At 36.4% G+C, this 14,361-nt stretch overlaps 1 protein-coding gene and 1 pseudogene across 7 annotated transcripts in view, besides 2 other annotated features; both read right to left on the reverse strand.

The window, feature by feature from the left end:
• The window catches only part of ACBD6 (acyl-CoA binding domain containing 6), a 232,925-nt gene that overhangs the window by 70,168 nt on the left and 148,396 nt on the right, over window positions 1–14,361 (reverse strand). The window lies entirely within an intron of this gene.
• Window positions 420–620: a silencer, noted in NCBI's record as "peak483 fragment used in MPRA reporter construct". NCBI's record gives its function as "represses an SCP1 promoter by STARR-seq MPRAs in K562 erythroleukemia cells {active_cell/tissue: K562}" and the evidence as "EXISTENCE:reporter gene assay evidence [ECO:0000049][PMID:32103011]".
• Window positions 4,400–4,600: a silencer, noted in NCBI's record as "peak484 fragment used in MPRA reporter construct". NCBI's record gives its function as "represses an SCP1 promoter by STARR-seq MPRAs in K562 erythroleukemia cells {active_cell/tissue: K562}" and the evidence as "EXISTENCE:reporter gene assay evidence [ECO:0000049][PMID:32103011]".
• Window positions 9,338–9,431, reverse strand: LOC124904702 (uncharacterized; annotated as a pseudogene).

Below are 14,361 nucleotides of genomic sequence, written 5' to 3' on the forward strand. Positions count from 1 at the left end.
AGATGATGGTACGTGCTACAGAGAAAAATAAAGCAGGAAAGAAAGATACAGAATGCTGGGAGGTAGGGCAGATTGGGTATCAACTTAAAATAAGGAAGGCAGAGTAGACCTTACTGAGACAACTAGGGGAGAAAAACGTGAAGATGGTAAGGGAATAAGCTGTCTAAATATCTGGGGGAAAAGCAATAGGAGGGAACAAGATGAGCAAGTGCAAAGACCCTGAAATGGTTATGTACCCAGCATGTCTGAGGAACTGAGAGGAGGCCAGTGTGTTACTGAAGCAATGAAAGGAAGTTAGATTAGTAATAGGAGATGAGGGGAGAGAGAGGTAATAAAGGGCCAGATGGCATAGGGCCTAGTAAGCCATTCTAAGGATTTTGGCTTTTATGTTTAATTCAGTGAGAGACCACTGAAGGGTTGTGAGCAGAGGAATAGCTTGACTTCACTTATGGGTTAAGAGGATCACTCTGGCTGCTAGGTTGAAAATAGAAGGAGTGATCAACTGTGCCACATGCTGCTGATAGGTCAGGTATGGTAAAGACTAAGAAATAGTCACTGGATTTAGCAAAGTGGAAGTCACTGGTTTTCCTGATAAGAACAGGAAGAATGGTGGAAGTGAACATTTGAGATCAAGTGGGTTCAAGAGATTATGGGAAAGAAGGAATTAGAGTATAAAGAACTCTTTCATGGGATTTTGTTGTAAAAAGGAGGAAAGAAATGGGGCATTACATAAATGGGCAAGGGGCTAGAGGATAGCAGTATAACTGTATCCTGATGGAAATCTACACAGAAGAGAGAGAAAACTGATAATACAAAAACAAAAAAACAAAAACAGGGGTGGGGGGTTTAAATATGGAGTAAGATCCTTGAGCAGGATGAGATATAGTACACAAGCAGAGGGGAAGGCCTTAACCAGAAGCCCAGATAGTTCATCCACACTAATACAAAGGAAAGTGAACTATAAAAGCACAGATGCAGGTAAGTCAGTAGATATGGTAGTGAGAATTTGCGGAAGTTCTTTTTTAATGGCTCCTGTTTCATCAGTTAAACGGGAAGGAAGGTCACCAGCACAGAATGATGATGAGGATCGAGATATCTAAATTTTGAGGAGAGAAGAGAAAATATGAAAAAGTCATCTAACTGGTAGAGTTCATGGGATAAGGAAATGTAGTGTCACTGCTGAGATTAGTGGTTATAAACATGGAGTGAGCATGGTTGTGTATTTTTTTCCAGCCATATTTAGCTGCTTGGGTGGAGGTTTGGAAGAGTAGAATTCATTTAAATATCTGCTTTCTGAAAGTCTACTATATACCAGGGACAAAGCAATAAACAAGCCAAGTTACAGTCTTTGCCTTTATGGAGTTTACAACGTAGTTTACATATTGCAAAATAGAAACAACCTATATATCTTAACAGTGGAATGGCTACAAGTATAGTATACTGCAGGCATATTATACGATACTAGGTAGTCATAAGAAATTATGTTAAAAAGAATATGGATAAGAGAAAATATTAATAATAAAGTAGGTTATAAAACTATGTAGAGCATGGTCCCATTTTTGTTTTAAAATTGTATCTCTACCTACAGGAAAAAGATTTTAAAAACATGAGAATGAAAACAGGGATTATCTTGAGGATAATATTATAGATGACAAAGATTTTCTTTTGTTTGCATTATCAGTTTTCCCTATTTTCTGTATAGGTTCCATCAGGATATAAATATGCTGCTATCTCTCCAAACCTTAACCATCCCTCTAATGCCCCATTTCTCTCCTCTTTACAGCAAAATTCATGAAAGCGTTGTCTATACTCTAATTCCTCCTTCCCATTATCTCTTGAACCCACTTGAATCAGATGTTCACTTCCACTATTCTTCCTGTTATTTCAGGAAAACCAATCACTTGTTTTTGTAAAAATTTATAAAATACATTATTACTTTGTAATAAGAAAAAGTTACAGTTAAAATTTATTTTTATGCTCTCTGTGGTCATGGTATTGTTGGTACACTCTCTGAATTGGAATACCATCTACACGCTTACAAACTTCTTCAGTGATTTAATTATTACTTAGCTGTTCCAAGGAAAAACTCATCAAACCGACTAAAATCATGGTTACTTATAAGTAGCTCTTTACAATTACAAGCATGATAGGCTTACCTACCACTTCCCAATCCATTTCTTGTTTGCTGTGTTCCTCAGATCACCATGCCTAATTTGGAGCTTTTGTGTTCAGATGCTGTGGGCTGAAGTGTTCTACTGTTTAATGTGAAATGTTGAGATTTTTGATCTTTCAATTTAGGGAATGTCTACCTAGAAATCAATTAGAGCAAGGACATGAACATAAGAACCATGACTCCAATTACAGAATTGACTGGCAAGTGGGGAATAGAAAGACAGGAGGCCAACCAGACTGTCCTCTAATTAGATTATCTATTCTGCCTTCCAAGAGTAGTAGAGAAAAGGATCAGTCTTTAAAAAAGATATCAAGATTTTTCAACTCTGAATTGTTTGTATGCGTCTAAGCACTTTGATAAAGGATAGGTATTTGAGTGAAACAAAGAAAAGACAATTATCTTAAATTATTATCTAATCCAATTGTAGTGTTTAGGGACCCAAATGTAAGTTGTTCTTCTCTTACTCATTTTTTGTATGCCTAGCATACAATAGGCACTTAAGAAATATTCAATCATGAACATAATTATTTGGAATGATTATGACTCACTAATATAAAGTCTGTTCAGCTTTAAATTATTATTAATAATTATCTTAAGTCTACTATAATACACTTACTATTATAATTATGATGCCTTAATAAACCACATCACTATGTCTCTATAAAATCTTTATTCTATTAGTCTTCTTTGTGTGTTAAAATGGAATTGATATTAAAGCATGAGTATAAGCCCAAACATTTTTTCTCAATAATCTCAGAATAGAATATAGGAACCTAAACCTTAGTCTTTGCAGACATTCTGTTTTAAAATATATTACAAAGAATAAATGGAATTGAATGTCAAGAATGAATAAGTGAAAGCTTTTACTCATCTGGTTTACAACTTATATCAGCTAATTTTTCTAGATTTAAATTGATTGAATTTTTTTTGTTGTTTCATTTCAAATGACCACACCAGAAAAGGTTGTTTGTCATGATTATTTATGTTTTTCCCTTCTGTTTATCTTAAAGGAAATGTTCAAATTTAATCAATATGAAGTTGTTATAAACAGCAGCAGAAACTATTCTAATGAATTAAAATAGGTTATATGTTTGAAATCTTTTAAATAGATGAAACATTAGGGTAAAATAAAAATACCCAACTGAATTAAAAATAAACAAAATTACATAATAGAGTTAAAATGTAAAAAAATTCAAGCATGCTTAAAATTGAAGCTATGAAAGCATAAAAACACATAACCTAAATACTTCAAATATTTAAAAAATCTTATAAAAAAAGAGTTTATTCCACCTCCATATCCTGTTTCCAAATAAATATTAAAAACCTATAAGCAATATACATAAATGATAAAATAATATACAAAGTTTAAAGACTCAGATTCTCAAACAAGGAAAGGCAAGAAGTACCCATAATCCTCCTAAATGATTCTTTACCATACCTTTAAAATGGTAGAGAATCATGGAAGCTCCCTTCCATTTGGCCTGTTTTTCTCTGTTCTGACTTATAGGATTCTAAACTATCACCCAATACTTTGAGACTGGATTCAAAAACAGCTACTCCTCTTTATAAGTTTAAGCAGAACCTTCATCCTTCACAATCCTTACTTAAAACTGTCTCCCACGACCTCCTTCATCTTTTAACTGTATTATGTTTGTGTTCTTCTGCTCCTTTGAAGGTAAGGATCATGGTATAATTTAACTTTATAGACTACGATTTCTTTTATCCTTTGTATCTGCACAAAACTTTGCATATAGTAAAAGTAAGCATAAAAACAAAACAAAACAAAAACAAACAGGCCAGGTGTGGTGGTTCACGCCTGTAATCCAGCACTTTGGGTGGCCGAGGCAGGTGAATCGCTTGAGCCCAGGAGTTTGAGACCGGCCTGGGTGACAGAAAGACACCCTATCTCAAAAGAAAATAAACTACTTGCAAGAAAAGTAAATATAGTTGGCTTTCTTGATTTTTGGCATTTTCAAGTACCTGGAATAGGGCCCAGAGTAGGGAAAAAGTGCTGATGAGGACCATATTAGACACATTGTGACCAGTTGGCTCTGTATAGAAGAAGAATTCTAGCTGGTCTGAGAAAGCAATGAAAGGCCTGTCTTTGACTATGAAATATGAGATGCAACAGAGGAAAAAGAGACTGAACAGTTAAAAAACAGCAAAGAATAAAGAGCATAAATGGGTAAGAGGCCAGCAGAGCCTAATGGTAATTAGAAGGAATGGGGTAGCAACAGTAGCAGGCAGCAGAAATTAGAAGCTATGACACAGGTGGCAACTTGTAGACATTTTAGACCACAGAGAATAGCCAGCCATAAAGAGGACTGGGCTGCATGCCAACCAGTAGGTTTTAGCAATTGCAAGAGAGAAAGAGAAGCTTCAGCCTTATGTCTCACACCAGCTATAAACACCCATGGTATAGTAAAATGATTTAAGAAGGAAGTAATGAAGTATGGAATATATTTTTAAAAAAGTATTTTGTAGAAAAACAGTTAAAAAATAAAAGGCAGAATGTAACTGTTCAGCTAACTGAAAAGAACACTTATCTAGAATGTTTAACCTTCCAGTGCTACAGAGTTGAGACTTCACTGCAGTAAAGAAAAAGGAGCAAACATTGACCGAATACCCATTGTGTGCTGGAAATTTTACAAACATCATTTCTTTTCATTCTCACAACAACCCTATTATGTAAACACTATTATTCCCATTTTCAAAATGAGTAAAATGATGCTCAGAGACATTATATAACTTGCCTAAGGTCCCAGGCCCTTCTAACAACACAATCCGTATTTTCTCAACTCTGCTACTAGAAAAGAGAAAGGAGAATCAACACAGATAATACAAATAAAAAGAAATGCAGTTAAAATTTTTTATTTTTTTCAGGTTAAAGACAATAGGTGGCCTAAGTTATGGTATCACATACAGCATGCTTGTGTAATTCCTATTACCAAAATCTCAAAACTGACATATCATCAGAGAGTGAATAATCTTACTCTTCAACACTATACACTCTTCTTTACCTCTGCATCAGTTGATTGCTATACTTTTTCAAGTTATACATATTTTGAGAAGCTGGAGCTTAGTCTCTATATTTGTATTAATTTACCGAGCTGGTCTAGCATTCAAAGTTAGGTAAATAAGAACAAAGCCAAACTCTTTGAAGGGTGTCTTGCTTATTGCATACTGTTTCTATAACACTATTCAGTAAAAACTCAATATACCTTAATCCACTCTATTCTAAATCCCTTGATGGTGAATGACCAGAAGTAAAAAAGAGAAATCCAGGAAATAATTATTTTCATTCATATTCTCATTCATCTTTCACTTTTACAGTGAAAATTTACATAGTCTGTTAGGCCCACAAAACAGTTCCTCCTCTACAGAAGGTGCTATGAAATAGGCACTTTCATTAGTTGTTAGGAGCATACATTAGTATAAATCATTTAGAAAATGAAAAGATTTATAAATCTTTTAGAAAAAATAAAATCATTTCCTTTCACTTAGCATTTCTAGAAAGGTATCCTAAAAATACTTCAAATATTTAAAAAAACCTTATAAAAAAGTTTATTCCAGTATTATCCAGAATAGCAAGGAATTAGAAACAATCTAAGTGTCCAACAACACAGGGAAAGTTGAGTCGATTATTACGCAGCAATTTCAAATGATGGTCATAAAACATTTATAACTTAGAACATCATTACAATATTATTAATGTAAAATGGAATTATAAAAAATGTTTTTATACTAAGATCTAAACTATATAAAGCAAGCAATTAAACCAAAAAGCACTGTATATTTAAAAATGTTTTAAAAACCTACCACAATGTAAACAGTATGTCTATATGTTTTTTTTAACTTTTCCGTATATTCTGATATTTCTATTATGAACAAGTGCTATCTTTGTAATGAAAATTTTTAAAACCTTGAAATTTTAAAGTTACATTGTTTTACAATGTAGCAAAACCTAGCCTGTAGCAGCTCCCTAGCCTGTAGCAGCTCCCTGAAAACCAGCAGCAAGTGCTGGAGATCTGAAATTCTGAAGCTAAAATTTTAGAAATCCCATTCAGCTTGAGAGATATGGTAAGCATACTGGATGAGGGATATAGGTAGCAAGTGCTGACAGGCTAGATCGGTTAGATCTAACAAGATGGAATTTAACAGACATAGAGAAAAGATCCCGTACCAAGGACCAAGTAGTCACAAACTACATCGTGGAGTAATCTTAGGAGAAACATAAATAGAAGATTTAGGGGCTTTAGTAGAGTGTGAGCTCAGTGAATTTTGATGTAGCTACTCAAAAGCAAATTAAATTTTAGAAATATATTAATAGGTACATACTATTAGAATGAGGAAAGTGATAGTGCTTGTGGTAGGCAGAAATCCAAAGTAAGCCCCAATGACCCAGGCCCTTGTATAATTCCCTTGCCTTGAGTGACGGTGGCACCAGTGAATGTGATGGGAAACCACTTTCATGATGGAGGGCAGAGATGGAATGGAGAGAGCTGGCCTCAAAGAAACAAATAGCCATGTTGACCATTTTGTGAACTGCCTAAGGAGAGGGATGGTGTCTAGGAATGAGGGCCTCAAGTAACTAAGAGGACTGCAAACTCTAGATGAGAATGAAGACTTATGAAGCCTTGAGCAGAGGAACCAGATAAGCCATGCCATAATGCTTGACCCATGGAGACTGTGAGAAAACAAAAGTGTGTTAAGTTGCTAAATTTGTGGTAATTTATTATGCAGCAATAGAAAACTGATACAGGCTGGGCATGGTAGCTCATGCCTGTAATCCCAATACTTTGGGAGGCCAGGGCAGGAGAATCACTTGAGCTTGGGCAACATGGCAAGACCCCATCTACAAAAAATACAAAAATTAGCCAGGCATAGTGGTGTGCACCTGTAGTCCCAGCTACCTGGAAGGCTGAGGTGGGAGGATTGCTTGAGGCTAGGAGGTCGAGGCTGCAGTGAGCTGTGACCATGCCACTGCACTCCACCCCGGGTGACAGAGTGAGACCTTGTCTCAATTACAAAAAACAAAACAAAACAAAACAAAACAAAAATAATGAAAAACGAAAAAAATCCAAACCCAAACTAATACAGAGCTATTCTTTTCTAGGGTCAGATAATTCCTGCAGTGTTAGTAGTAAAGAGCTGTGGGTGAAAAGTACCTTGAAAGATATACATAAAGAGCCTGAAATAGGCTTTGGCTGGATGGTAAAGTAACTTGAAATCATGTCATGTTAGGAACGAAAGACGAAATATCTGAAAACAATAAAACTGTTTGCTTCTATACGGCTACACATTTTAGAAGTAGGAAGAGTATGAGAAAATTATAGGGAGTCAAACACTTAATTTTTCAACAGAAAGTTTTTTTTTTTTTTTTTTTTTTGAGACAGAGTCATGCTTTGTCGGCTAGGCTGGAGTAAAGTGGCGTGATCTTGGCTCACTGCAGCCTCCCCCTCCCGGGGGTTGAAGCAATTCTCCTACCTCAGCCTCCCGAGTAGCAAGGATTAAAGCTGCCTGCCATCATGGCCAGCTAATTTAGTAGAAACAGGGTTTCACCATGTTGGCCCAGCTGGTAGAAAGATCTTTTCAAACTTAAAACGGCTACCTTAATGTTCCTTCAATTCCCTATCCTTGAAAATTTTCAAGCTTAGATGCACGACTGATAAGCAGACACATATAAAGAGGTTCTAGGCCGGGTGCGGTGGCTCACGTCTGTAATCCCAGCAGTTTGGGAGGCTGAGGCGGGTGGATCACGAGGTCAAGAGATCAAGACCATCCTGGCTAACACGGTGAAACCCCATCTCTACTAAAAATACAAAAAATTAGCCGGGCGTGGTGGCGGGCGCCTGTAGCTACTCGGGAGGCTGAGGCAGGAGAATGGCGTGAACCTGGGAGGCGGAGCTTGCGGTGAGCCGAGATTGCGCCACTGGGTGACACAGCGAGACCCCGTCTCAAAAAAAAAAAAGAGATTCTAAGCATTTCTAGATGGCCTGATTAATAATCTTGTCTCTCTCTTAGGCATTTCCATCTTTAAATACTGTATGTGTATAAAGAGGTACTTCTATTTACAGCATAAATATTTGCAGTGCCTAGTGTACTGTAGGCAGCCAATAAGTATTTGTTGAATGAATAAATGCACAAAAGAAAAATATAATGAAAGAAAAAATGAGAATATTAATATCCTACGATCTAATTGCCTTTTAATGCTCCTTTTGGGCAAATTAAAAATAAAACCTTGATGGCAATGAAAGTAGCAGCGGCTATCTGTGGGAGAAAGAAGTATGTCTTTTTGTAGCAAATAAATCAACATAGAGAAGCGACAAGAGCTCTGGACTGTGAGTTTCAGTCTTGGCACTACCACTTTTGGTCCAAAAAATGAACGGAAATGATCAGTCCTGGGGTTCAGGCTGAGTTAGAAGGCATGTTGAGGCAGGAAGAAGTGTAGGATCAGGAGAACTGAGGAAATGGGAGCTATTAAGAGTATTAAGATCTAGAGAAGTTTCAGAATTTGAGGTTGTGACAGGAAGCAAGCTCAAAGATGTTAAGTGTTCAAGTAAGTTAAAATGGAGTATAAATGAATGTAGCCAGGGTTGAGGGGTTTTCACAGACCAAGGATTGGTAGGTGTTAGTATGAATGCTGAAGTGTCTGAATAAGGATAGCTTTAGATAGAATGGAGAAGTAAATTGTAAGCCTGCCCCTCCATTAATTAAAAATCCAGTCCAAACAGCTATCAATTTTTAAACAGTCTAATTCATTTTTTTGATATACAAATGTTCCTTATTTCTTGTCTGCTATATTCCATAGCCTTCTAAACCTTTATTTTCTACTTATTCAACTGCTTTTACTAAGAACTTATGACAAACTTATTAGGCAACATATCAACAAATAAAATCTGAATAAGCTTTCTTTTTGCTCTTATAATTTTTTTCTCTCAGGTTAATAGGACAAAATATCATTAGGAATCAAAAATATAACAGAATATTACCCTTTTCACTAAAAATGTTATTCACAGCATTTATAGGCGAAGGGGCAATTTTTTCCTGAGTTTTTTTTAACCCATTTTAGGATGTTGCGAGAGCAGTATCACTTGTTTAATATAACTTTGTATCCTTTATTTAACTTAATTTTTCTTATAAAGTCAGCTTTTATTTACTTATAAAAAAATAGAACGCTTCACGAACTTGCATGTCAGGGGCCATGCTAATCTTCTCTGTATCGTTCCATTTTTTTAGTATAATAAAAAATATAAATAAAAAATTTTAATTTCTTTTTTTTTTTTGGAAACGTCTCGCTCTGTCGCCCAGGCTGGCTCGCGGGCGATCTCGGCTCACTGCAAGCTCCGCCTCCCAGGTTCACGCCATTCTCCTGCCTCAGCCTCCGGAGTAGCTGGGACTACAGGCACCCGCCACCACGCCTGGCTAATTTTTTGTATTTTTAGTAGAGATGGGGTTTCACCGTGTTAGCCAGGATGGTCTCAATCTCCTGACCTCGTGATCCGCCTGCCTCGGCCTCCCAAAATGCTGGGATTACAGGCGTGAGCCACCGTGCCCAGCCTTTTAATTTCTTTAGTATAAAAAAATAAATAAAATTTTTTTTAGTATAATAAATTTTATGTGTTGCCAAAGCAACCACTAAAGTTAGCTTTTAAAAATGGATTTAATTTTTCCATTAAAGATGGGCTTTGTTAGAGTCGTATGACCTTGTTTATTAGTGGGCCTTTCTCTTTAATATTGTTTTATCCTGAAATAAATCACTTCCTATTCTTGTTAGCTTCTCTTTCTATCCTGCATAGAGTTTTTATTAATGTTTCAAATCCTCTTTGGTTTTTCCTCTAAATGTCACTGTAAAACTGATTTTTTTCTCAAGTCTTGAAACCTTTAAGCTACCATAAAATCACGTAAATATTTTTTTTTCTATTTGTATTCTAATTTCCTCCTCCTAACAACTGCATAATTTTGATGTAATCAACCAGGCTACACAATAATAGTACAACTAAAGGTGTTTCAGTCCTCTCCAGTGACCCTTTTTTTTTTTTTTTTTTTTTGAGCAGAGTCTTGCTCTGTCGCCCAGGCTGGAGTACAGTGGTGCGATCATAGCTCACTGCAGCCTCGATCTCCTGGGCTCAAGCGATCTCCCTGCCTCAGCCTCCAAAGTAGCTGGGACTATAAATGCAGGCCATTATGCCTGGCTAAATATTTTTTACTTGTATTAATAGAAAAGATAAGGTCTCACTATGTTGCTCAGGCTGGTCTCCAACTTCTAAGCTCAAGCGATTCTTCCACCTTGGCCACCCAAAGTGCTTGGATTACAGGTGTGAGCCACCATGCCTGGCCGACTCCTAATTCTGATTTCTTCCCAGCATTTCACTCAATGTGTTAAGAGACCCTAGTTCAGGTATTTGAGAAATCGATCTATATTTTCTATTGTTGTTACCGAAACACAAATCCTTGGTCAATTCAACATCAATAACCAAAATTAATACAAGGGTATCTTCACTGGTATTCCTTCCTATTCCCTTTCTCCCTAGTAACAGTACACTGTTACTAATCACTCTAAAAAATTCCTTATAGTCCTCATTTAAAACACACCCACACTCACCCAAATTCCTTACTCTGAGTATTTATGGCTTCCATAGTCTGCCCGAGCTGTTTCTGCTACCTATCCCTTTCCACACCTCAGCATCCTTCAAATATCACCTAGCCTTTACAGTACAAGATAGGCCACAATTCATAACTGAAGATGTCTCCAACTACGGTGCTCCCTAGTAATCTCTCCCTTTTTTTCCTATTACCTCTTCCAATGCACTTGCAGATGATCTCTCATTATGGGATTTGGTTATAGTCTGGCTCATAATTGTTCTTTAATAATTTAACGAGTTTTCTACTGTCTCAGATAGTAAGCGATGTCAGGGCAGGAACCACAGTTTGTACCTCTTGTGTCTCCTAATGTCTTGTTGCATCCAGGTCATGGAGTAAGTATTTAATAAAATATTTGAGTTAAATTTAATAATTTCAGGGCTGTTACTTTTCCTATGTTTATATTGCTGATTTTATTCTTATGGTAATCTGTATGCAGAATTTCTAGTAACTACTCTTAACCATAATAAATAATCCTATGAAATATAATATAGGTGAATTGCAGATATCTATTTCCATAGAAAACTGATAAAAATATATAGGTTTATTCTCAATCTAGACATCTTTATGTCATTCTATAGCTTATATTACTTTTCAGGTATCCCTTTAATCTGGGTGCTGTCAGTTACCTGCCAGATATTACGTTTTTTTTTTTTTTTGAGACAGTCTTGCTCTGTCACCCAGGCTGGAGTACAATGGCACAATCCCGGCTCACTGCAACCTCTGCCTCCTGGGTTCAAGCAATTCTCCTGCCTCGGCCTCCCGACTAGCTGGGACTACAGGTGCGTGCCACCATGCCTGGCTAATTTTTTGTATTTTTTAGTAGAGACAGGGTTTCACTGTGTTAGCCATGATGGTCTCGATCTGACCTTGTGATCCACCCACCTCAGCCTCCCAAAATGCTGGAATTACAGGTGTGAGTCACTGTGCCTGGCCCGATATTACGTTTTTTTTTTTTTTTTTTTTGATAGGGCATTGAGATACCACTTCACATCTCTATTAAGATGGCTAGTATCAAAAACACAGAAAATGACAAGTGTTGGCTAGGATTTGGGGAAAGTGGAACCTTCAAGTATTGCTAATGAGAATGTAAAATGGTGCACCTGCTGTGAAAATGGCTTGGCAATTCCTCAACAAATTAAACAGAGAATGATCCAGTAATTCCACTTTCCAGAATTGAAAGCAGGGACTTGAACAGGTATTTTTATATCCATGTTCACAGTGGCATCATATACAATAACCAAAAGGTGGGAACAATATGCATATCCATCAGCAGATGAAAGGATAAACAAAATATGGTATATACATACAAAGTGAGTATTATTTGGCCTCAAAAAGGAATGCAATTCTGACACATGCTACAACATAAACCTTGAAGACATTATGCTAAATAAAATAAGCCAGACACAAAAGGACAAATATGCTACAATTCCATTTACATGAGGTACATGTAGTCAAATTCAGAGAGACAGAAAGTAGAATTATGGTGGCCAGGAGGCGGGGTGGGGATAACGGGCATTTATTGTTTAATGAGCACAGACTTTCAGTTTGGGAAGATAAAAAAGTTCTGGAGATAGACGATGGTAATGATTGCACAACAATGTGAATGGATGAATAAATGAATGCTTTATTGTTAATATTATTATTATTATTTTAGAGATGAGGTCTTGCTATGTTGTCCAGGCTGGCCTCAAACTCCTAGGCTCAAGTGATCTTCCTGCCTTAGGCTCCTGAGGATCAGGAGGTTTTCACCACGTTGGCCAGATTGGTCTCTTACTCCTGACCTAAGGTGATCCACTCGCCTCAGCCTCCGAAAAGCTGGGATTACAGGTGTGAGCCTCCGCACCCAGCCATATTTTTTATAGGTTTTGTTAGATTTGGGTTCAACATTTTTTGGAAGAATACAAGTATTATTCTGCTTCCTACTGAGAGGGGGCCTTAAAAAGCAGATGGCATTTGAGACAGTGTGGATGGAAGCATGTGAGAGACAGTAAGGGTAAACAATACAGGTAAAGAACAAACATGAGCAAAGGCACAGATGGAACAAGTGTGTGATATGTTCAAGGAAAGAAACTACATTAACTAGAGATAAGACTTTCAATACTGTTCACTGCACTTTATACACAGAGTACATCCCATTCAGCCCTGCTGAATCAGCATATCTAGGGATGAAGGCTCAGATACCTTTATTTTTACAAAGTTCCCAAGAAAATTCAATACTTTACCAGGTCTGAAACTTACTGTCCCAGAGAATAGTGTACCTGTAAGTAGCTTGTTCGTGGTATGTCAAGCTCATTCCTACTTCAGGGACCTTTTTATTACGACTTATAGCAACTTCTCTTCATTGAATTCTCAGCTTGTCACTTTCTCAGTAAAGTCTTACCTGATCACTGTTTAAAGTAACCACCACTATTTTATTTCTTAGAACTTAACTGATATTATCTTGTTTGTTTTTAGCATATTTTCTTCATTAGAATGTATGCTCCAAAAGAACGTGAATCTTGTCTTGTTTACTATAATTCTAATGCCTAGAAGAGGTATGGGGTACATAAAAGGTAGACACTAAATATCCACAGAATGAATGGATAAATTTGGCTGACTTAGGAAATTCTTTTTGGAATATTCTTATGTAATGTAGATAGAAAATAATAAAATTATTCTTTAAGCTTTTCTTCACTGAGATTGGTTAGTAAATACTTCTTGAGAATTTCTTTTTGTCATTTTAGATGTTTTACTCTGTGATAGCCCATGTCACCTTACTGGTTAACAGAAAAAATTTGGGCAGCATTTCATAGAAGACAACTGCAACTCTGAACATCTATCCAATCAGTTCAATAATAATTTCCAAATGTACTTAATGGCCTATTAAATCAGTAATTAGAAATCAAATTTTGCTAGGCTGCAAAAGATGTCAGAATTATGTATGCTCAGACTAAGATATTTTAAAATTAAAATTGTATTTAATTAGCATTCCTCGGAGAAATATATTTTAAAATTAAAATTTTATTTAATTAGTGTTCCCATAATCTATATTAAAAATTTATTTGTATCCTGCTGACTTACAAAAATATATGCAGGGCAGGGTAAAGATACAAAAAGAGCTTGTGGTGGTTAAAAAAATTCAATGACATAAAACAGTTAACAACCACAAAAAAAAAAAAAAAAAAAAGCCCAGCAAAGAAAATGATTTAAGGTTTAAGGAAAAGAAAAAATATTAATAAAGCAAAAACATTTTAATATAGATAATTTTGTGAGTGTTTGAAAACATTTCCTCCCTTTCATCCACACTTTTGTGAGCTAAAGTTAATGGATTTCTATTGCATTCCTGTTGTCACTACTACCAAATGCTTTCGTATGGATGAGGCAGATACCTGGTTATTTAAGGAGCAGGATAAATGGGCCAAGACAGCTTTCCCTATCCCCAATTCACCAGGGAACATTTGAAAATTCCACCTGACATGAGGACAGCACTGTGCTCTTAAACAATCTGCAGTTTGATCCGATTGTTCCCCAGTGGGGGAGGTAGGCCACAGCTCACTCAAGAG

Source organism: Homo sapiens, chromosome 1 (genome assembly GCF_000001405.40).
Source record: "Homo sapiens chromosome 1, GRCh38.p14 Primary Assembly".
Classification (NCBI taxonomy): domain Eukaryota; kingdom Metazoa; phylum Chordata; class Mammalia; order Primates; family Hominidae; genus Homo; species Homo sapiens.